Source organism: Homo sapiens, chromosome 12 (assembly GCF_000001405.40).
Source record: "Homo sapiens chromosome 12, GRCh38.p14 Primary Assembly".
Lineage (NCBI taxonomy): Eukaryota > Metazoa > Chordata > Mammalia > Primates > Hominidae > Homo > Homo sapiens.
Window position 1 is genome coordinate 96599723 of NC_000012.12, and position 24663 is coordinate 96624385.

The 24663-nt window shown below is 40.0% G+C and overlaps 1 protein-coding gene across 2 annotated transcripts in view; it reads left to right on the forward strand.

Moving 5' to 3' along the window:
* The window catches only part of CFAP54 (cilia and flagella associated protein 54), a 385979-nt gene that overhangs the window by 110146 nt on the left and 251170 nt on the right, over positions 1-24663 (forward strand). For both annotated transcript variants that reach the window (NM_001367885.1, NM_001306084.2), the window contains exons 27-28: positions 21868-21999; positions 24045-24159. In NM_001367885.1, coding sequence (NP_001354814.1) covers positions 21868-21999; positions 24045-24159 — 247 coding nt within the window. The remainder of the gene's footprint in view (positions 1-21867; positions 22000-24044; positions 24160-24663) is intronic.

Below are 24663 nucleotides of genomic sequence, written 5' to 3' on the forward strand. Positions count from 1 at the left end.
CATTGTGGTTTTGATTTGCATTTCTCTGATGACCAGTGATGATGAGCATTTTTCCATGTGTCTGTTGGCTGCATAAATGTCTTCTTTTAAGAAGTGTCTGTTCATATCCTTTGCCCACTTTTTGGGGTTGTTTGTTTTTTTCTTGTAAATTTGTTTAAGTTCTTTGTAGATTCTAGATATTAGCCCTTTGTCAGATGGATAGATTGCAAAAATTTTCTCCCATTCTGTAGGTTGCCTGTTCGCTCTGATGATAGTTTCTTTTGCTGTGCAGAAGTTCTTTAATTAGATTCCATTTTTCTATTTTGGCTTTTGTTGCCATTGCTTTTGGTGTTTTAGTCATGAAGTCTTTGCCCATGCCTATGTCCTGAATGGTATTGCCAGTTTTCTTCTAGGGTTTTTATGGTTTCAGGTCTTACATTTAAGTCTTTAATCCATCTTGAGTTAATTTTTGTGTAAGGTGTAAGGAAGGAATCCAGTTTCAGCTTTCTACATATGGCTAGCCAGTTTTCCCAGCACCATTTATTAAATAGGGAATCCTTTCCCCACTGCTTATTTTTTTCAGGTTTTTCAAAGATCAGATGGTTGTAGATGTGTGGTGTTATTTCTGAGTCCATTGGCCTATGTATCTGTTTTGGTACCAGTACCATGCTGTTTTGGTTACTGTAGCCTTGTAGTATAATTTGAAGTCAGGTAGAGTGATGCCTCCAGCTTTGTTCTTTTTGCTTAGGATTGTCTTGGCTATGTGGACTCTTTTTTGGTTTCCTATAAAACTTAAAGTAGTTTTTTCCCAATTCTGTGAAGAAAGTCATTGGTAGCTTGATGGGGATGGCACTGAATCTATAAATTACCTTGGGCAATATGGCCATTTTCACGATATTGATTCTTCCTATCCATGAGCATGGAATGTTCTTCCATTTGTTTGTGTCCTCTGTTATTTCGTTGAGCAGTGGTTTGTAGTTGTCCTTTGGATTCCTAGGTATTTTATTCTCTTTGTAGCATTTGTGAATGGGAGTTCACTCATGATTTGACTCTCTGTTTGTCTGTTAATGGTGTATAGGAATGCTTGTGATTTTTGCACATTGATTTTGTATTCTGAGACTTTGCTGAAGCTGCTTATCAGCTTAAGGAGATTTTGGGCTGAGATGATGGGGTTTTCTAAATATACAATCATGTCATCTGCAAACAGAGACAATTTGACTTCCTCTTTTCCTAATTGAATACCCTTTATTTCTTTCTCTTACCCGATTGACCTGGCCAGAATTTCCAATACTATGTTGAATAGGAGTGGTGAGAGAGGGCATCCTTGTCTTGTGCTGCTTTTCAAAGGGAATGCTTCCGGTTTTGCCCATTCAGTGATATTGGCTGTGGGTTTGTCATAAATAGCTCTTATTATTTTGAGATACATTTTATCAATATCTAGTTTATTGAGAGTTTTTGACATGAAGGGCTGTTGAATTTTGTCAAAGGCCTTTTCTGCATCTATTGAGATAATCATGTGGTTTTTGTCCTTGGTTCTGTTTATGTGATAGATTACATTTACTGATTTGTGTATGTGAACCAGCCTTGCATCCCAGGGATGAAGCCCACTTGATCGTGGTGGATAAGCTTTTTGATGTGCTGCTGGATTTGGTTTGCCAGTATTTTATTGAGGATTTTCACATCGATGTTCATCAGGGATAATGGCCTGAAATTCTCTTTTTTGTTGTGTCTCTGCTAGGCTTTGGTATCAGCATGATGCTGACCTCACAAAATGAGTTAGGGAGGATTCCCTCTTTTTCTATTGATTGGAATAGTTTCAGAAAGAATGGTGCCAGCTCCTCCTTCTACCTCTGGTAGAATTCGGCCGTGAATCCATCTGGTCCTGGACTTTTTTTTGGTTGGTATGCTATTAATTATTACCTCAATTTCAGAACCTGTTATTGATGTATTCAGAGATTCAACTTCTTCCTTGTTTAGTCCTGAGAGGGTGTATGTGTCCAGGAATTTATCCATTTCTTCTAGATTTTCTAGTTTATTTGCATAGAGGTGTTTATAGTATTCTCTGCTGGTAGTTTGTATTTCTGTGGGATTGGTGGTGATATCCCCTTTATCATTTTTTATTGCATCTATTTGATTCTTCTCTCTTTTCTTCTTTATTAGTCTTGCTAGCAGTCTATCAATTCTGTTGATCTTTTCAAAAAACGAGCTCCTGGATTCATTGATTTTTTGAAGGCTTTTTTGTGTCTCTATCTCCTTCAGTTCTACTCTGATCTTAGTTATTTCTTGTCTTCTGCTAGCTTTTGAATGTGTTTGCTCTTGCTTCTCTATTTCTTTTAATTGTGATGTTAGGGTGTCAATCTTAGATCTTCCCTGCTTTCTCTTGTGGGCATTTAGTGCTATAAATTTCCCTCTACACACTGCTTTAAATGTATGCCAGAGATTCTGATATGTTTTGTCTTTGTTCCATTGCTTTCAAAGAAGATCTTTATTTCTGCCTTCATTTTGTTATTTACCCAGCAGTCATTCAGGAGCAGGTTGTTCAGTTTCCATGTAGTTGTGCAATTTTGAGTGAGTTTCTTAATCCCGAGTTCTAATTTGATTGCACTCTGGTCTGAGAGACAGTTTGTTGTGATTTCTGTTCTTTTACATTTGCTGAGGAGTGTTTTACCTCCAATTATGTGGTCAATTTTAGAATAAGTGCGATGTGGTGCCAAGAAGAATGTATATTCTGTTGATTTGGGGTGGAGAGTTCTGTGGATGTCTATTAGGTCTCCTTGTTCCAGAGATGAGTTCAAGTCCTTGATATCCTTGTTAATTTTCTCTCTCATTGATCAGTCTAATATTGACAGTGGGGTGTTAAAGTCTGCCATCATTATTGTGTGGGAGTCTAAGTCTCTTTGTAGGTCTCTAAGGACTTGCTTTATGAATCTGGGTGCTCCTGTATTGGGTGCATATATATTTAGGATAGTTACCTCATTTTGTTGAATTGATCCCTTTACCATTATTTAATGGCCTTCTTTGTCTCTTTTGATCTTTGTTGGTTTAAAGTCAGTTTTATCAGAGACCAGGATTGCAACCCCTGCTTTTTTTTGCTTTCTGTTTGCTTGGTAGATCTTCCTTTATCCCTTTATTTTGGGACTATGTGTGTCTTTGCATGTAAGATGGGTCTCCTGAATACAGCACACCAATGGGTCTTGACCCTTTATCCAATTTGCCAGTCTGTGTCTTTTAATTGGAGCACTTAGCCCATTTACATTTAAGGTTAATATTGTTATGTGTGAATTTGATCATGTCGTTACAATGCTAGCTGTTTATTTTGCCCGTTAATTGATACACTTTCTTCATAGTGTCAATGGTCTTTACAATTTGGCATGTTTTTGCAGTGGCTGGTACCAGTTGTTCCTTTCTATGTTTAGTGCTTCCTTCAGGAGCTCTTGTAAGGGAGGCCTGGTGGTGACAGAATCTCTCAGCATTTACTTGTCTGTAAGGGATTTCATTTCTCCTTACTTATGAAGCTTAGTTTGGCTGGATATGAAATTCTGGTTTGAAAATTCTTTTCTTTAAGAATGTTCAATATTGTCCCCCACTCTCTTCTGGCTTGTAGGGTTTCTGCCAAGAGATCCACTGTTAGTCTGATGGGTTTCCCTTTGTGGGTAACCCTACCTTTCTCTCTGGCTGCCCTTAACATTTTTTCCTTCATTTCAACTTTAGTGAATCTGACAATTATGTGTCTTGGAGTTGCTCTTCTTGAGGAGTATCTTTGTGGCGTTCTCTGTATTTCCTGAATTTGAATGTTGGACTGCCTTGCTAGGTTGGGGAAATTCTCCTGGATAATATCCTGCAGAGTGTTTTCCAACTTCGTTCCATTCTCCCGTCACTATCAGGTACACCAATCAGACGTAGATCTGGTCTTTTCACATAGTCCCATATTTCTTGTAGGCTTTGTTCGTTTCTTTTTACTCTTTTTTCTCTAATCTTGTCTTCTCCCTTTATTTCATTACTTTGACTTTCAATCACTGATATCCTTTCTTCCACTTGATCGAATCGGCTACTGAAGCTTTTTTATGCTTCACACAGTTCTTGTACTGTGGTTTTCAGCTACATCAGGTCATTTAAGGTCTTCTCTACACTGTTTATTCTAGTTAGCCGTTCGTCTAACCTTTTTTCAAGGTTTTTAGCTTCCTTGCGGTGGGTTAGAACGTGTTCCTTTAGCTTGGAGAAGTTTGTTATTACTGACCTTCTGAAGCCTACTTCTGTGAACTCATCAAACTCATTCTCCATCTGGTTTTGTCCCCTTGCTGGTGAGGAGTTGTGTTCCTTTGGAGAAGAGGCGTTCTGTTTTTTGGAATTTTTAGCCCTTCTGCTCTGGTTTCTCCCCATCTTTGTGGTTTTATCTAACTTTGGTCTTTGATGTTGGTGACCTACAAATGGGGTTTTGGTGTGGATGCCCTTTTTGTTGATGTTGATGCTATTCCTTTCATTTGTTAGTTTTCCTTCTAATAGGCCCCTCAGCTGCAGTTCTGTTGGAGTTTGCTGGAGGTCCACTCCAGACCCTGTTTGCCTGGGCATCACCAGTGGAGGCCACAGAACAGCAAATATTGCTGCCTGATCGTTCCTCTGGAAGCTTCGTTCCAGAGGGGCACCTGCCTGTTTGAGGTGTCTGTTGGCCCTACTGGCAGGAGGTGTCTCCCAGTCAGGTTACACAGGGGTCAGGGACCCACTTGAGGAGGCAGTCTGTCCATTATCGGAGCTCAATCGCCATGCTGGGAGAACCACTGCTCTCTTCAGAGCTGTCAGGCAGGGACATTTAAGTCTGCCAAAGCTGTCTGCTGCCTTTTATTCAGATATGCCCTGCCCCTAGAGGTGGAATCTAGAGAGGCAGTAGGCCTTGCTGAGTGTGGTGGGCTCTGCCCAGTTTGAGCTTCCCTGCCACTTTGTTTACACTGTGAGCATAGAACCACCTACTCAAGCCTCAGCAGTGGTGGATGTCCTTCTGCCTGCCAAGCTCTAGCATCCCAGGTTGATCTCAGACTGCTGTGCTAGCAGCGAGCAAGGCTCCATGGGCATGGGACCTGCCAAGCCAGGCATGGGAGGGAATCTCCTGGTCTGCTGGTTGCAAAGACCATGGGAAAAGCGCAGTATTTGGGCAGAAGTGTACCGTTCCTCCAGGTATAGTCACTCATGGCTTCCCTTTTCTAGGAAAGGTAAATCCCCCAAACCCTTGTGCTTTCTGGGTGAGGTGACGCCCTGCCCTGCTTTGGCTGGCCCTCCATGGGCTGCACCCACTGTCCAACCAGCCCCAATGAGATAAACCAGGTACCTCAGTTGGAAATGCAGCAATCACCTGTCATCTGCGTTGATCTTGCTTGGAGCTGTAGACTGGAGCTGTTCCGATTCAGCCATCTTGGAAGCGACTGCATTTGTATATTTTATAAGCATTATATATGGTCACACAGAACGTATTTGTTTAAACCCTAAAACATTAATTATATATTTATTATACTGCGTTAAACCTGCATATCATCTTATCAGGTTGTGATTTTAGTGGAACCTGCAGGCAGACTTTAAGTATCTTAACCCAGCCATTGAGACAGTGGGGCTTAGAAGGTATCAAGAAACCAAACAGCTGGATTATAAGTGAAGAGTCAATCAGTAATGGAGGGGTGTGTTAATCTCATGACATTAGAATGTAAACAATAATGTTAGGCCTGAAGGAAAGGGCTGACTAGGCAGACTCTAAGGACAATTCTGAGATTGGTGTGCAGGACCCTGAACTCAAAAAGGACAAACTGGAGAGGTGAATTCAGACTGTGCCAGTCAAGAGTGCTGTATCTGGACATCTAAACCCACGAGAAGACATAGGCAAGAGTGTGGTCAGAATAGAAACAGATTTTTCATTTTTGTTTCATTCCTTCATTCAATATGTATTTACGATTACCTATTTGTGTCAGGCACTGGTTTGGGCTCTTGACATATGCATGAAGAATTAAAGAGAAGTCCATAGTAATTGTAGGAGGAGAAGAATGAATCATGAATGACACCCAGGTTTCTAGCTTAGGTGATGAACGGATGGTGGTGACACAACAGGGATGCAGGAAGATGACCACTAAGGGATAGGATGATTGGGGAAGGCTTCACTCTGGGGATGAGACTTAGGTATGCTCTGAGCAAGAGTTACAAACTCAAATGCCTACTGAGACCAAGCAGGTAAAATAATTGGTGAATTGGTTGAATGTAAGACAAGGTTTGTTGGGTCCTGAGACAAACTAGAGATTAGGTGTACCTACCTGTAGGCATCCTTTATTTAAAAAGAAACCAACATCATCTCACAGAGCTTGTGATTTAGTGGGGGGGTGACAAAAAACAAACATACGCATAAAATACAATTTCATGAAGCTTTAAGTGTTATAAGCAAAAAGAAAAGCATTTAAAGGAGATAGATTTATGGAGCTGAGCCTATTTTAGACGGGATGACCCTGTAGCAAGAGGAAGAGTAGAGCTGAGACAGATGGAGGAGGAACAGCTTTGTTGGCAGAGGGCATGAAGGACTATGCAAGTGAATAGACTTAGAGGTTCATGACCAATTTTAGCCTACAGTTGAGTGGGCAGGTTTCAGCAGGGCAGACCATTCATGTGGAGCAATGGATTCCCAACCTGTTGACTTGAGAGTTATTGTAAGAGGTCTATATAGCCATAGTCGTGCTTAGCATTGTCTGTAAACAGAATCACTGTATTCCCACGTGTTTTGTGTTTGTTACAAAAATATGGGAAAACAATTAAAATAGTTAACTAAATTTATTTAGGCTTTAATGAGAAGAAATACTAGAAAGTATTTATTGTAGCTCAAAGGCTTGCAGGAAGGCTATTTGTTTTAAGGTAAAGAGATGAGGAATTCTGAATAGACAGCAGCTTAATCACACATCCCCGACTTTTCTCTTTTTCAATTTTTATTTTGGCAGATTATAGTAGCCTGAGCGGGCCAGTTGGTAAAGGCTGGAGGGGGTATCTTAGGCCAGAATATCTGAGAAAAAGGCTTTTTATGGAACCTCATTCACCTTGGAAACGAGAAGGAACTGAGACAAGAGGCAGAGAGGTCAGCTTGTTTGTTCTCGTTGCTTGGCTCAAAGACCAGCATTGTGTGGTTCCTCAAAGGCTTTCATTGACAGAATCCAGTGATTCCCTCAAAGAACGTCCATATCTGCCTGCCTGTTTTTATGTGGTTCTCATAGGACCTTTGCAGTTTGACCAGAGATCTGGAAGAATGCTGTGTAGGTGAGCTCATTTGAGCCATTGCTTTAGTTAGGATGTAAGCTTGCTTCTGTGGAGGTCTTGCAACAGAGAGGCTTCTACCCTCCACCTTAGCAAAGAAGCCATTATTTGCTTTCTGTTCATGGCCTGACCTCAAGAGCAGGAAATAATATTTGTTCCATTGCTCACTGACTTACCAGTGCTGGAGAGACTGCTATGACCTGGTCTGTGTAGATGCTGAGGGAACATAAGCCATTAGCAGGAAGAAAAAAGCAATTACTCGCTGAAGGAGACTCCATACTCCAAGGGAAGAAGAGCAAGCCAGACACCAAAATCATTGTGTTTTTACTCTCATCATGTTGGAAAAAGACTAGAGAAGACTTGGTTAAAAAAAAAAAGGCAGAGAGCACTTTTAAGGAGATACAATCATGTGATCTAAAAGAAAACAAACAAAAATAACCCTTCTGTAACTGAACAAATGAATTTGATTTTTTAATCAAAAATCAAATAGATGAAAATTATGGTTATGGTATTTCTTGAGTCAAATCTGAAAGCTCAAGAAATACCCCTTCCAACATAGTACAGAATTACCTAGAGGTGGTAAATGAATTCAAAAGGCAGATCCAGAAGTCATAACTTGAAAACAAAAGAAGTCTGGAGGTAGAAAAGAAAAGCAAATGCAGAAGGAATAGGCTTCCTGAGTCCCAGGCAGGATTAATATAAGAATACATATGGAAATACATGTGGGTGAAATCCCTGAAGTCAAAGGATAAGGACAAATCTTAAAGTTTTGTGACCCAAAGAACATTTATTTGCAATGGAAAGAGAATCAATTAGCTTCAGACTTTTTTTTTTTTTTAAATCAGTGATGCTAGAAGTTAAAACACTGGAGCAACATTTGTAGAATCCTGAGGGAAAAAGACCGAGGTCCAAAAATTAATATCCAGGAAAGATATCATTCGTCAGGGCAAAATAAACATTTTCAGAAGTGCGGGCATTTAAAAAGTATTCTGCCCATGTACTTATCTGAGGAAAACACTTGAGGAAATACTCTATCAAATGACAATTGATTCAGAACAGAAATCCCAAGACAGGGGAAGACGAAAAGGAGAGGAATAATGGGAGCAATGAATCTTGCAATATATGTATTATTAAAATTAATTAGATAATAATGATGTGACTAGGACTTTGTAATATAAATGCTAAGTAGGGATTCTTTAAAGAGAAGAGTCATTCTTGAAAGAAAAATTTATTAGTAACCTTGACCTAAAACTTCCATTGTGTTTGGCGTAAGGAGAGGTATGAGCAGGTAAAGATTTTTGGTGCATGGTTGTGCATTTTATATATGCATATATATATACACACACACACACACACACACACACATACGCACACACATACATATAAAATTATTTTTTGATAGAATATAAATATGTCTCTCTATATACATGTTTAAAGGTGACTCAGAGAAATATGTGACCATGAGCAGAACTTTACAGCATAGTAGGACTTTTTTTTTTTTTTTTTTTTGAGGCAGAGTCTCACTCTATCACCCAGGCTGGAGTGCAGTGGCTCAATCTCAGCTCACTGCAACCTCTGCCTCTCCAGTTCAAGTGATTCTCATGCCTCAGCCTCCTGAGTAGCTGGGATTACAGGCATGCACCACTACGCCCGCTTAGTTTTTGTATTTTTAGTAGAGACTGGGTTTCACCATGTGGTCCAGGCTGGTCTCGAACTTCAGACCTCAGGTCATTCACCCGCCACACCCTCCCAAACTGCTGGGATTACAGGCGTGAGCCACCACGCCCAGCTGCATAGTAGGACTTCTAAACTGACAGGGAGGAAAAAATGAACAGAGAGGAATAAGAGAGAGAAAACAGGAACAGGAAAAACTGACAGGCAGGGAGAAAAAATGGCTAATTTTCAGCAAAAGTAAGAAGGAAAAAGAGAAGATATAAGATGGAAGAAATATAATTAAGTATATTGATCACTTCACTGAATGTGAGGGAATTCAGAAGACAGAAATTACCAGATGGGCTAAAAAGTTAGGTTCAAATGTATACTATTTCAAGAAACAGTCCTAAAACACGATGACAAACAATGCTTGAAAAAATGAATGGGTAGACAGTGGTACTGGGAAAATGCAAACAAAGGAGGAGAGGCAATTTTCATATCAGAAAAAGCAGAGTTCAGGGCCCAAAATATTAATCAGAACAGAGAGTGTTTATGTAGTGTCCTTCAAATCTGTTCTGTCAGATCACCCTTCTCTGCTCCTGAATGGCATTTGGTCACTTTCTGGTCTTAGGACAGTGTCATTGTCAAGTATTAAAAATTGAGTCTGAATTAAAACAAAACTTGAATTTTTTGCAATAGCAAGGTAAAGGAGACAAATAAGATTATATGAAAAATGCCACAAAGGCATTTGATAACACTTAGTAACCTTTCCTAATAAAATTTCTAATAAATTAGGAAAGGAAAGAAGCTATTGAATAATGACAAAGACATTTACCAACATTTTACAGCAAATATCATACTGAATGGCAATTTTCTGGAGCCATTTCTTTAAAAATCAGCCACAGGAAATAGATGCTGACTCCTAACAGTGAGATTCAGTATTTTTAGAGGTTCTTTCTCATATTCTAGATAAGGATAGAAAATAATTTTATAATATTAGAAAAGTATAATTTATCTGTAATTGTACTGGTCTCAAAACCCCATGACGATCTGGTAAAAAAATTACTAGGATTACAAAGAGAATATGTAAAGTGATTCTATGTAATACACTTACAAAATGATAGGTTTTTAAAAATACTAGCAATAGTTAGAAATGGAGAGGGTAAGATATACCACTCATAATACACAATATTTAAAACTTAACAAAATGTTAAAGAATCTAAATAAAAGAACCATGGGATCTTACTGAGGGACACAAAATAAGATCTGAATATAGGACAGGTCACACCAAGTTCCTGAACAGGTAGACTTATTGTCACAGAAGTGCAGATCCTTCCTAAAATAATATTTAAATTTAATACAGTTCTAATTAGAATTCTAATTGGGTTTCTCTGAACCTGATTAATTTAAAAGTTCTCAATAGATATTAAAGTTTGCCATAAGGCCACTTTAATAAAAAAATGATGTCACAGAGTGATGGGCAAACAGTTCGGTGCAATAGAATAGAGAGTCCAGGAATGGCCCCTAAGTCTACAGAAGAAATTAATATATGACAAAGGTAGCAATTTGATTCATTGAGAAAATGATAGTGTGTTATAATAGTTTATTTAATGAAAGGTGCTGGTATAACTTGACTCTTCATCTGAAAGTAAACAAAGCCAGAACCTTGTCTCATGCCATAAACAAAATGAAGTCTAGGTGGATTTAAGGATATTTATATGGCCTTGGAGTCAGGGGACACTTTCTTTGATAAGCCACAAAATTCAAAAGATAAACAGGGAGTTATGGGGGGGTGGGGGCTCCCAAGATGGCTGAATAGGAACAGCTCCAGTCTACAGCTCCCAGTGTGAGCAATGCAGAAAATGGGTGATTTCTGCATTTCCAACTGAGGTACTGGGTTCATCTCACTGGGGCTTGTCGGACAGTGGGTGCAGCCCACTGAGCGTGAGCCGAAGCAGGGTGAGGCATTGCCTTACCCAGGAAGCACAAGGGGTCAGGGAATTCCGTTTCCTAGCCAAGGGAAGCTATGACAGACGGCACCTGGAAAATCGGGTCACTCCCACCCTAATACTGTGCTTTTCCAACAGTCTTAGCAAATGGCACACCAGGAGATTATATCCCGCGCATGGCTCAGAGGGTCCCACGGCCACAGAGCCTCACTCATTGCTAGCACAGCAGTCTGAGACCGAGCTGCAAGGTGGCAGCAAGGCTGGGGGAGGGGCACCTGCCATTGCTGAGGCTTGAGTAGGTAAACAAAGCAGCTGGGAAGTTCGAACTGGGTGGAGCCCACCGCAGCTCAAGGAGGCCTGCCTGCCTCTGTAGATTCCACCTGTGGGGGCAGGGCACAGTCGAACAAAAGGCAGCAGAAACCTCTGCAGACTTAAATTTCCCTGTCTGACAGCTTTGAAGAGAGTAGTGGTTCTCCCAGCATGGAGTTTGAGATCTGAGAAAGGACAGACTGCCTCCTCAAGTGGGTCCGTGACCCCTGAGTAGCCTAACTGGGAGGCACCCCCCAGTAGGGGCAGACTGACACCTCACATGGCTGGGTACCCCTCTGAGACGAAGCTTCCAGAGGAATGATCAGGCAGCAACATTCGCTGTTCAGCAATATTTGCTGTTCTGCAGCCTCCGCTGCTGATACCCAGGCAAACAGCGTCTGGAGTGGACCTCCAGCAAACTCCAACAGACCTGCAGCTGAGGGTCCTGACTGTTAGAAGAAAAACTAACAAACAGAAAGGACATCCACACCAAAACCCCATCTGTACGTCACCATCATCAAAGACCAAAGTTACATAAAACCACAAAGATGGGGAAAAAACATAGCAGAAAAGCTGAAAATTCTAAAAATCAGAGTGGCTCTCTCCCTCCAAAGGAATGCAGCTCCTCACCAGCAGTGGAACAAAGCTGGACGGAGAATGACTTTGACGAGTTGAGAGAAGAAGGCTTCAGATGATCAAACTTCTCCAAGCTAAGGGAGGAAGTTAAAACCCATCGCAAAGAAGCTAAAAACCTTGAAAAAAGATTAGACAAATGGCTAACTAGAATAACCAGTGTAGAGAAGTCCTTAAATGACCTGATGGAGCTGAAAACCATGACACGAGAACTACTGATGAATGCACAACCTTCAGTAGTCGATTTGATCAACTGGATTGAAGTTGATTCGATCAACAGTGATTGAAGATCAAATGAATGAAATGAAGTGAGAAGAGAAGTTTAGAGAAAAAAGAGTAAAAATAAATGAACAAAGCCTCCAAGAAATATGGGACTATGTGAAAAGACCAAATCTACATCTGATTGGTGTACCTGAAAGTGACGGGGAGAATGGAACCAGGTTGGAAAACACTCTGCAGGATATTATCCGGGAGAACTTCCCCAACCTAGCAAGGCAGGCCAGCATTCAAATTCAGGGTTACAGAGAACGCCACAAAGATACTCCTCAAGAAGAGCAACTCCAAGACACATAATGGTCAGATTCACCAAAGTTGAAATGAAGGAAAAAATGTTAAGCCAGAGAGAAAGGTAGGGTTACCCACAAAGGGAAGCCCATCAGACTAACAGTGGATCTCTCAGCAGAAACTCTACAAGCCAGAAGAGAGTGGGGGCCAATATTCAACATTCTTAAAGAAAAGAATTTTAAACCTAGAATTTCATATCCAGCCAAACTAAGCTTCATAAGTGAAGGAAAAATAAAATCCTTTACAGACAAGCAAATGCTGAGAGATTTTGTCACCACCAGGCCTGCCCTACAAGAGCTCCTGAAGGGAGCACTAAACATGGAAAGGAACAACCAGTACCAGCCACTGCAAAAACATGCCAAATTGTAAAGACCATCGATGCTAGGAAGAAACTGCATCAACTAATGAGCAAAATAACTAGCTATGATTATAATAACATGATCAAATTCACACATAGCAATATTAACCTTAAATGTAAATGGGCTAAATGCTCCAATTAAAAGACACAGACTGGCAAGTTGGATAAAGAGTCAAGACCCATTGGTGTGCTGTATTCAGGAGACCCATCTCACATGCGGAGACCACACATAGGCTCAAAATGAAGGGATGGAGGAAGATCTACTAAGCACATGGAAAACATAAAAAGGAAGGAGTTGCAATCCTAGTAAACCAACAGAGATCAAAAGAGACAAAGAAGACCATTACATAATGGTAAAGGGATCAATTAAACAAGAAGAGCTAACTATCCTAAATATATATGCACCCAATACAGAAGCACCCAGATTCGTAAAGCAAGTCCTTAGAGACCTACAAAGAGACTTAGACTCCCACATAATAATAATGGGAGACCTTAACACCACACTGTCAACTTTAGACAGATCAATGAGACAGAAAGTTAAAAAGGATATACAGGAACTGAACTCAGCTCTGCACCAGGCAGACCTAATAGACATCTACAGAACTCTCCACCCCAAATCAACAGAATATACATTATTCTCAGCAACACATTGCACTTATTCCAAAATTGACCACATAGTTGGAAGTAAAGCACTCCTTAGCAAATGTAAAAGAATAGAAATTATAACAGCTGTCTCTGAGACCACAGAGCAATCAAACAAGAACTCAAGATTAAAAACTCACTCAAAACTGCTTAACTACATGGAAACTGAACAACCTGCTCCTGAATGACTACTGGGTACATAATGAAATGAAGGGAGAAATAAAGATGTTCTTTGAAACCAATGAGAACATAGACACAACATACCAGAATCTCTGGGACACATTTAAGGCAGTGTGTAGAGGGAAATTTATAGCACTAAATGCGCACAAGAGAAAGCAGGAAAGATCTAAAATTGACACCCTAGCATCACAATTAAAAGAACTAGAGAAGCAAGAGCGAACACATTCAAAAGCTAGCAGAAGACAAGAAATAACTAAGATCAGAGTAGAACTGAAGGAGATAGAGACACAAAAAACCTTCAAAAAATCAATGAATCCAGGAGCTGGTTTTTTGAAAAGACCAACAAAATTGATAGACCACTACCAAGACTAATAAAGAAGAAAAGAGACAAGAAGCAAATAGACACAATAAAAAATGATAAAGGGGATATCACCACCAATCTCACAGAGATACAAACTATCAGCAGAGAATACTATAAACACCTATATGCAAATAAACTAGAAAATCTAGAAGAAATGGATAAATTCCTGGACACATAGACCCTCCCAAGACTAAACCAGGAAGAAGATGAATCCATGAATAGAACAGGCTCTGAAATTGAGGCAATAATTAATAGCCTAGCAACCAAAAAAAGTCCAGGACCAGATGGATTCACAGCCGAATTCTACCAGAGGTACAAGGAGGAGCGGGTACCATTCCTTCTGAAACTATTCCAATCAATAGAAAAAGAGGGAATCCTCCCTAACTCATTTTATGAGGCCAGTGTCATCCTGATACCAAAGCCGGGCAGAGACACAACAAAAAAAGAGAATTTTAGACCAATATCCCTGATGAACATCGATGTGAAAATCCTCAATAAAATGCTGGCAAACGGAATCCAGCAGCACATCAAAAAGCTTATCCACCATGATCAAGGGGGCTTCATCCCTGGGATGCAAGGCTGGTTCAACATATGCAAATCAATAAACATAATCCAGCATATAAATAGAACCAAAGACAAAAATCACATGATTATCTCAATAGATGCAGAAAAGGCCTTTGACAAAATTCAACAGCCCTTCATGCTAAGAACTCTCAATAAATTAGGTATTGATGGGACATATCTCAAAATAATAAGAGCTATTTATGACAAACCCACAGCCAGTATCATACTGAATGGGCAAAAACTGGAAGCATTCCCTTTGAAAACTGGCACAAGACAGGGATGCCCTCTCTCACCACACCTATTCAACATAGTGTTGGAAGTTTTGGCCAGGGCAATCAGGCAGGAGAAAGAAATAAAGGGTATTCAATTAGGAAAAGAGGAAGTCAAATTGTCCCTGTTTGCAGATGACATGATTGTATATGTAGAAAACCTCATCATCTCAGCCCAAAATCTCCTTAAGCTGATAAGCAACTTCAGCAAAGTCTCAGGATACAAAATCAATGTGCAAAAATCACAAGTATTCTTATACACCAATAACAGACAAACAGCCAAATCATGAGTGAACTCCCATTCACAATTGCTTCAAAGAGAATAAAATACCTAGAAATACAACTTACAAGGGATGTGAAGGACCTCTTCAAGGAGAACTACAAACCACTGCTCAATGAAATAAAAGAGGACACAAACAAATGGAAGAACATTCCATGCTCATGGATAGGAAGAATCAATATTGTGAAAATGGCCATACTGCCCAAGGTAATTTATAGATTCAATGCCATCCCCATCAAGCTACCAATGACTTTCTTCACAGAATTGGAAAAAAACTACTTTAAAGTTCATATGGAACCAAAAAAGAGCCTGCATTGCCAAGACAATCCTAAGCCAAAAGAACAAAGCTGGAGGCATCACTCTACCTGACTTCAAACTCTACTACAAGGCTACAGTAACCAAAACAGCATGGTAGTGGTACCAAAAGAGAGATATAGATCAATGGAACAGAACAGAGCCCTCAGAAATAATACCACACATCTACAACCATCTGATCTTTGACAAACCTGACAAAAACAAAAAGTGGGGAAAGGATTCCCTATTTAATAAATGGTGCTGGGAAAACTTGCTAGCCATATGTAGAAAGCTGAAACTGGATCCCTTCCTTATACCTTACACAAAAATTAATTCAAGATGGATTAAAGACTTAAATGTTAGACCTAAAACCATAAAAACCCTAGAAGAAAACCTAGGCAATACCATTCAGGACATAGGCATGGGCAAGGACTTCATGTCTAAAACACCAATAGCAATGGCAACAAAAGCCAAAATTGACAAATGGGATCTAATTAAACTAAAGAGCTTCTGCACAGCAAAAGAAACTACCATCAGAGTGAACAGGCAACCTACAGAATGGGAGAAAATTTTTGCAATCTATCCATCTGACAAAGGGCTAATATCCGGAATCTACAAAGAACTCAAACAAATTTACAAGAAAAAAATAAACAACCCCATCAACAAGTGGAGGAAGGACATGAACAGACACTTCTCAAAAGAAGACATCTATGCAGCCAAAAGACACATGAAAAAATGCTCATCATCACTGGCCATCAGAGAAATGCAAATCAAAACCACAATGAGATACCATCTCACACCAGTTAGAATGGTGATCATTAAAAAGTCAGGAAACAAGAGGTGCTGGAGAGGATGTGGAGAAATAGGAACACTTTTACACAGTTGGTGGGACTGTAAACTAGTTCAACCATTGTGGAAGACAGTGTGGCGATTCCTCAGGGATCTAGAACTAGAAATACCATTTGACCCAGCCATCCCATTACTGGGTATATACCCAAAGGATTATAAATCATGCTGCTATAAAGACACATGCACACATATGTTTATTGCGGCACTATTCACAATAGCAAAGACTTGGAACCAAGCCAAATGTCCAACAATGATAGATTGGATTAAGAAAATGTGGCACATATATACCATGGAATACTATGTAGCCATAAAAAGGATGAGTTCATGTCCTTTGTGGGGACATCGATGAAGCTGGAAACCATCATTCTCAGCAAACTATCCCAAAGACAAAAAACCAAACACCACATATTCTCACTCATAGGTGGGAATTGAACAATGAGAACACTTGGACACAGGAAAGGGAACATCACACACCGGGGCCTGTCGTGGGGTGGTGGGAGGGGGGAGGGATAGCATTAGGAGATATATCTAATGTAAATGACGAGTTAATGGGCGCAGCACACCAACATGGCACATGTAGACATACATAACAAAACTGCATGTTGTACACATGTACCCTAGAACTTAAAGTGTAAAAAGAAAAAGATAAACAGAAAAAGATAATTAGATTACATGATGATTAAAACATTTTTATGACAAGACACTGTAAGGAGAGCTCAAAGGCAAATATTAGGTTGGGAAAATATGTGAAGGCATAGGATTATTAACGTTAATCACTCCAGGGAGTAATCAGTTAGAAAATATGGAATAATTTTAGAGTTTGATAAAATAATCAAATTTATCTTTTATCATGGAGGATATAATGCAATATTTCAGTTGCCTTAAAAGGTTGAGCAATGGACAGGTACCAGGTGATAAATGGCCATCTTGTGGGGTCAAGGAGGTGCCATTGACGGGTTTCACACCCAGGAATGACATAAGGAGATTTGTATTTTAGAAAAAAGAAATTGTTCTTGTTGTACAACAGCTAATAATTAGAGGAGATAAGACCTGAGGCAGAGATGAGTTCAGAGAGAAGATAAACTAAACTGGTATGGAAAAAGTGGAGGTAGAGAGAATGGAAAGGATTCATGAGTTATTTATGAGATAGAATTGAGAATCTGAAACTCTAAATAGACAAGAATAAAGGAGGGAGAGGGAAGAGGCAGTGGTAATATTCAGCTACCTGGTCTGGGCAGTTGGGTGAATATAACACTACTCATTGAACCCTGCATGAGGAGTAACTTTGTGTAGTGAATGGGGAGAAGGTAATGAGTTTTAAACAGATTGAATTTTGGAGTCGATAGGATATCCAAAGAAGTGGCCTTTATATAACAGGACCTATCAGCCTGGAGCTCGGGAGATGTGAAATGTATGTAAAGACAAAGAAGTCATTAGTATCAGGACTGCAATTGAAGCAGTAGAAATAGATGCCACCACCAGGGGGATGGTGCATAGAGTGAGAAGGGGAGAGAATTATCTAACAATTTCAAGGGTGCACTTAGTCCAAGAGGTCAATCCTTCTTCCAAATACTAGACAAGAGGGATAACTGAAGAGTTTGATTAGTCTAAAGCTATTCTGTCATTCCTAATCCCTCCCAACCTCAAGAACATTCCTGCTGCTGTTAGTTCTGTCATTGTCACATGGTGACACCATTGAAAGCAGGGGTCCCATGCAATCCAAAGCACCCTTTTCTTTTTCCAGTGCTACGATCACACACACATTAATTCGTGTTGTGCTGGGCCCAAAGTCTATCTTCCAAGGTTACTTTTCTTTAGAATATATTTATCTGCGGGCGGGGCGTGGTGGCTCACGCCTGTAATCCCAGCACTTTGGAGGCCAAGCTGGGCTGATCACGAGGTCAGGAGATCAAGACCATCCTGGCTAACACGGTGAAACCCTGTCTTTACTAAAAATACAAAAAATTAGCCAGGCAAGGTGGCGGGCGCCTGTAGTCCCAGCTACTCGGGAGGCTGAGGCAGGAGAATGGCGTGAACCCGGGAGGCAGAGCTTGCAGTGAGCCGAGATTATGCCACTGTACTCCAGCCTGGGCAACAGAGCAAGACTTTGTCTCAAAAAAAAAAGGAATATATTTATCTGCTTGGCCTACTCCGACCCCCAAAAAGCTCTTCCATCAATGAGTATTTCCAGGGGAGGGGTGTCTTTTTCAAATAAGGGAAGGCCAGGTTACACTCTCTTTCCAGGGCACTGAACACAACTACTTACGTTTAAGTAACTAACAGGGGCTACTGCAATGTCTTCCAGAAGAAAGAAAGAAACTCTATTTCAAGGCAGCTTGTGGTTTGCATCTTGCCAATGGCAACTTCTGCTAAAACAATCCAAAAAAACCAATTCAGCTTATCGACATACTCCAAAACATTGAAATATTGATGAGGAGGGACCAGGAAAGGGAAAGGATGAAGACTTAAGAGAGGTGGTGTGAGGACTAGAGCAGGATCCCTGAAAGCATGAGGCAGTGAGATCCCAGCACATGTGGGAGGGGTTAGTCTGGACAGGAGATTCGCTTCTCGTCTCTCAAGGAGGGAAGGGTGGTTGTAGTTACAGACGTGTGATGATAGGTTTGTGGATGGGAGAGAAGCACTTCCCTTAACATTTCCTCTGTGGACAGGAAGCAAGGTCATTTGCTGACAGTTAGGAGGAGATGGGTAAGGGTGGGTTTCAAAGATTTGAGAATGGGTGGGTTTGGGCCGCCACTGAAGAAGATGGGAGAGAATGCTGACCTAGAATAAATTGGACTTCCAACCAGCATTTGGGACCCAGTGGAGGTTGACGTCCTTGAATTCACATGCTACCTTTCTCAGCTTTGGATGAATTTTCTCTCTTAGCACACACCAGCTTCTAGCTGACTCTGTGCATTTCCTGACTTGCTGGCCAGGACCCCCACCCCCTTCTTCTCCCATTTGGGGAATCATTGAAATCCAAGTGATGTTACTGTAGAAATGACCCTGAATGTGTGTTTGTTTGTTTGTTTCTGAGACAGAGATCAGGCATGATCTCAGCTCACTGCAATCTCCACCTCCCTAGCTCAAGCAATCCTCGCATATCAGCCTCTGAGTAGCTGGGACTACAGCCATGTGTCACCACACCTGGCTAATTTTTGTATTTTTTGTAGAGACAGGGTTTTGCCATGTTGCTCAGGCTGGTCTTGAACTCCTGAGCTCATGCAATCCACCTGCCTGCACTTCCCAAAATGCTGGGATTACAGGCATAAGCCACGGCAACCAGCCTGAATGTGTTCTGAAAACATTCAAAAACAAGTAATATATTAATGTCACGATTTTGATATTTGACTTGATTTTGTCCCTAATATGTTGAGAATTGCCATTCTAGAAGCTTCCTCCTGTCTAGCCTACAGTTCCAGGATCCTGGACTAACCCTGAATCCCAGATTTCAGGTGTTCATTTGATATAAACAATGTTGGATTTTCTCTTAGGACATGTAAAACCTGATTAGTCAAATGGCTCTGTTTCTTTTCTCTGTTCTGTTTTAAAAATTGGTAATCTTTTCAGATGGTTGAGTCTTTCTTCTTTAAGCATCAGTATTTTTTTTCTAACATGCCACTTGTGAGATTTGCCATCTTCAATGTGTCATTACTTTTGCATGATTTAAAAATTGTTATGCTAAACATCTGGCATACTCTGTTTCTGTTCATCATTTGGTATGTTAAATAGAATTGGTCCTCTGTTTTTCCTTTGGCTGGAAAAAATTCTTTATCATTTATTATTTTCTACTAGCATATTAAAAGAAGGGGAAAAGATTGCCCAGTTATCTGTAAGCTTAGGACCTAAATATGTCAGAAAGCAAAATTAAGTAGAGTGGAGAGCAGACTCGTTTCTGTTTTCTTATAGCAAAACTTAGCTCAATTCTATTTCCTTATAGGAAAACTTTCTTCTGCTCATATACATTTCATAATGAGATTTGACTGTTTTGCTGAACATTCAAGGTTTTGCATGACCTAACCCTACCTACCTATTCAAAATTTATTTTGGCCGGACATGGTGACTCATGCCTATAATCCCAGGCATGGGATTTTTAGAGACCCTGCCTCTACAAAATATAAAATAAGTAAACAAATAAAAATTTTTAAAAAAACTCACAAAATTTATTTGGCACTTTCTTTCCCACACTCTGTTCCACAGTCACTATTAGTTTAGTGCCTTTGCCCTGGTCCCAAAGATACGTGTTCCAGTTCTTAGCATTAGATAGGGCTTCTCAGGTCTAAGCAGCCACTCATTATTGTTCAGCCACTTTATATATCCCTTCCCTGCATGAGAAGTAACAGTTGTTATTTATTGATATGGTTTGACTGTCTCCCCACCCAAATCTCATCTTGAATTGTAGCTCCTATAATTCCCACATGTCGTAGGAGGGACCTGGTGTGAAGTAATTGAATCATGGGGGCGGGTCTTTCCTGTGCTGTTCTGGTGATAGTGAATAAGTCTCACGATATCCGACAGTTTTATAAAGGGGAGTTCCCCTATACAGGCCCTCTTGCTTGCCACCATGTAAGACATGACTTTGCCCCTCATTCACCTTCAGCCGTGATTGTGAGGCCTCCCCAGCCCTGTTAAATTGTGAGTCAATTAAACCTCTTTCCTTTATAAATTACCCCATCTTGGGTATGTCTTTATTATAAGTGTGAGAACAAACTAATACACTTGTCTTAAATACTAACATACTCAACAGAATATATCTACATATAACAAATTCACACAAACTTATTTATACTCCTAGTTGCCCTAAGGGGCCCACAATGAGTGTGTCCCCTTTTTTGACCCTTCTCTACAGCAGAATATATGCAAATCAGATTGCTGGCCAGGGCAGCTTTTCTGAAGTTGATGCTAGAGCCAAGGTTTTAATGGCAAGGTGAAGCTGTATAAACAAGGTGCAGACAGCTGTTCTGGGAAATGGCTCAGCTGTGGGAAGACATGAAGTCCTGTAACACAATGGTGACTGTCAGATTTTATAATTGGCTCAATATTTTGTAAGATTAAAGTACAAGGAGATGAGTGGTGGAAGATTACTTTAGAAAGGTAGGTAAGGGCCAGAATAGATAAGGCCAAAGAACTGGTATTAGGGGATGTGAGAGGCTAAATAGGCCTCTTCCCCTTACGACTACAGTGCACACTTCCCCTAGGGTTGATGGGGAATCTGCCAAAAACAGCTTCTATCTAGCCTAGTCCTCTAGCAGAATGTCTTGTAAATCACTTAGTGATATAAATGCTCCTTAAGACATCATGAGGTCGGTAGTTATGCCATTTCCTATAGAAAGCAACTCAAGATAAGAAGTGGTGGTGATGTGGCCTTTACAAATGACTTTTTAAATATGGATTTTTTGAAAGGAATTGTTTTCTTAATAGTTAACTCACTGTATCAGAAGGTATATGGCTGTGTGGCCCAGAGATATGGGAAGTTTGTTATTGATGAGATCCCGTTATTAGTCCTTTACTTAAAATAGTTGAATTATGCATCTTTAGTTGCACTCAATGTGTTAATACGATCTGGAGGTAAACTTACGGTTTTTTTTAAAATAAAAGGGGGATTCTTAGACTGAAAACTCTATGGGGCTTTTGAATTTATGGAAAATGATGCATTATACTTGAAAATAGACAAGAATGTCCAACAGAGATAATTAATAAATATTTTAAATTAGATTCTTCGTTCATGGAGGGAATATGACCTGGCAGTAATGATTATAAATTATGGGAAAAAAATGTTGGACATCACACCAGGATGCAAGTCTCTGTTTGATGGTAGTAATGAACAAGAAGAAATGCCAGAGGAGGTAATTGTTTTTGTTTCTCATTTTTAAACCTACGTTTAGTTTGCATCTTTTAGGGGTAATGTAGTATTATTAAACATATTAGAAAATTGGTAAGTTTTACATTTGTTATATTTACATATAAGTAAAGTATTATAGTAAAGAGCTTTTGGGTTTGTTTTTTTTTTTTTTTTTTTTTTTTTTTTTTTTAGTTATGGTCAAGAAAATGAAAAAGGAATCTCTGCTAGCATGCTGAATAGTCCCCATCACCAGTCCCGACCATCAGTTAATGATGATAGAGAGCTTCTTACACCCAGTTGGACACTGGACTTAAAAGCTCTCTAAAGTCTCTTCCAAATCTAAGATTTTATTGTTCTGGGTGGATCATTGAATGTGGCAAATACATGTCAGAGTTTTTTTACTTTGTGTTCAAAGTAGATTTCTGAAACTCTTTGTGACACCCGTGTTCTCTTCTTTATGAGACTGCTAATTTTTGAGATTAACTTTTAATATCTGCCTTCCAAGCATGAGTCTTACAAGAACTTATGCTTATTGCCTTTCCTTGAAACTATGTAGTTTTGTAGATCAAGTTTTGAAATGTTACTTAGTTCACTGGCCTGCCTGCCCGCCCGCCCTCCCTCCCTCTCTCTCTCTCTCTCTCTCTTTCTTTCTTGACACAGTCTCACTCTATAGTCTAAGCTGGAGTGCAGTGATGCAATCTTGCCTCACCGTAGCCTCCACCTCCTCAGTTCAAGTGATTCTTCTGCCTCAGCCTCTGAGTAGCTAGGATTATAGGTGTATGACACCACACCTGGCTAATTTTTGTATTTTTAGTAGAGATGGGGTTTCACCATGTTGGCCAGGCTGGTCCTGAACTCCTGACCTCAGGTGATCCTCCCACCTTGGCCTCCCAAAGTTCTGGGATTACAGGTGTGAGCCACAGTGCCTGGCCAGTTCATTGGGTTTCTGAGGGCACTAGAAATTACTTGAAGTCCCTTCCATGGCTTGGGTGGGAGTAGAGACTCTCATCCCTGACTCTGTCTAAGTTAGAGTAGCTCCATTTCTATCTCTGTGATATCTTGAATTTCCAAGTAAGCATTTGTTTGCCAAAAAAACTTTTAAAAATCACCACTGTTTTACTGGATGACTTTTTAAGCTATAATACTTTTTTTTTTCCTAGTTGGAAGGATGTTTTGTCTAGAGGGATTTTTGATTAAGCTGGAAGCAATATGAGGGTTTTGTTTGTTTGTTTGTTTGTTTTTGTGCCATGCAGTGTCTACTCTCAGAGTCTATCAGCCCCTTTATGTCACCCAGGCTTTGACTCAGGGCCTTCCACATCATGGTAGGACAGGCCTCATGCCTCTCTTCTTGAAGCTTTCAGTCCAGCAGAAGGTTGTGATTCTTCCATCCAAGATTGTAGAGATTGTTAATTTATAGGAGTCAGAAATTATTAGAGCTACTCAAGGTTCCTTTAAGCCTAAAGGGGCTTGGAAGTTTTTTTTTTTGAACAAGAGACATTAACAGGTCAGTTCTCAGGCTCAGACAGAGAAAACATGGTAGTGAGCCTGAGTGGGCAGACAGGCTGATTCTTAATCCACTAATTGCTGATCCCCTTAAGTTTCAATGAAAGGCAAAGTAACAAAGGCAATTAGCTTAGTTGTAAAGAAGCTCCTTCTGGGAAAAAGAAAGGGAAAAAAGAATAAAGGGATACATTTCTGAGGGCAGGCTGGGAATTGTCTTTTCAAGATTTTTAGAGACATAGCCTCAGCTGCTTTGAGAATGCAGGTTTTGGAGGGGGCTGGTTAGGTAGGTGGAAGTTACTGGGAGAAAGGGAGAGAGAAAAGAAGCAGCATTTTGGTCAATCTCCGTGAAACACAGCACTATGTCTACATTTAATTAGAGCACAATAACTGTTATTATTCATTGTTGTTAATTAATATTGTTATGTAGATCATAGTTTTATCTACCAAGTGTGAAAGTATGAAAACATAATTTAAAGAATGTTGTTTGAAAAGGACAGTTGTTGCAACACGTTAAAGTACATTTTGACGTTTAACCAATGTTTTTAGGATTCTTCTAAGAAGTCTTTAAAGACTAAGAAGCCACAGCAGATACTACTGCCTGAAAAGATAAATGAACAGCTGGCCTTGTTGGAGACACACCTACTCAAACTGACAAAGCAATGTAATCATTTGTTTTCTGTATACTTCCATTTAGCATTAAGTTTTTTAAAACGAGAAACTATTTTGTTCAAAGGATTAAGATGAGATTAGCATTTGGTAAACCCTTTAAGGTTTACACAGTGCTTTTATATCATTAATCCTAACAATACCCTGTTAATAAGGGATTGCTAACCACTTTTTACAGATGTGGCTCATAAAGATTAAGTGATTTACTTAGGATTACATAGCTGGCTTGGACTTGAGCCTGTGTCTTCTGACTCTAAAGCAAGTTTTCTCAACCTCGACACTATCAGCATTTTGGGCCAGGTAGTTCTTTGTTGTGGGGGACTGTCCTTGGCACTGTATGATATTGAGTAGCATCCCTGGCCTCTACTCACAGAAGCACAGCACACCACCCCCTAGTTGTGACAACCATCTGGGTATCCTTGGTGGGAGAGTGGGAGGGGGTTATGGGTGGCACAAAAATCACTGCTTTGAAGTCAGAAATGCAACTGAGAAATAAAGG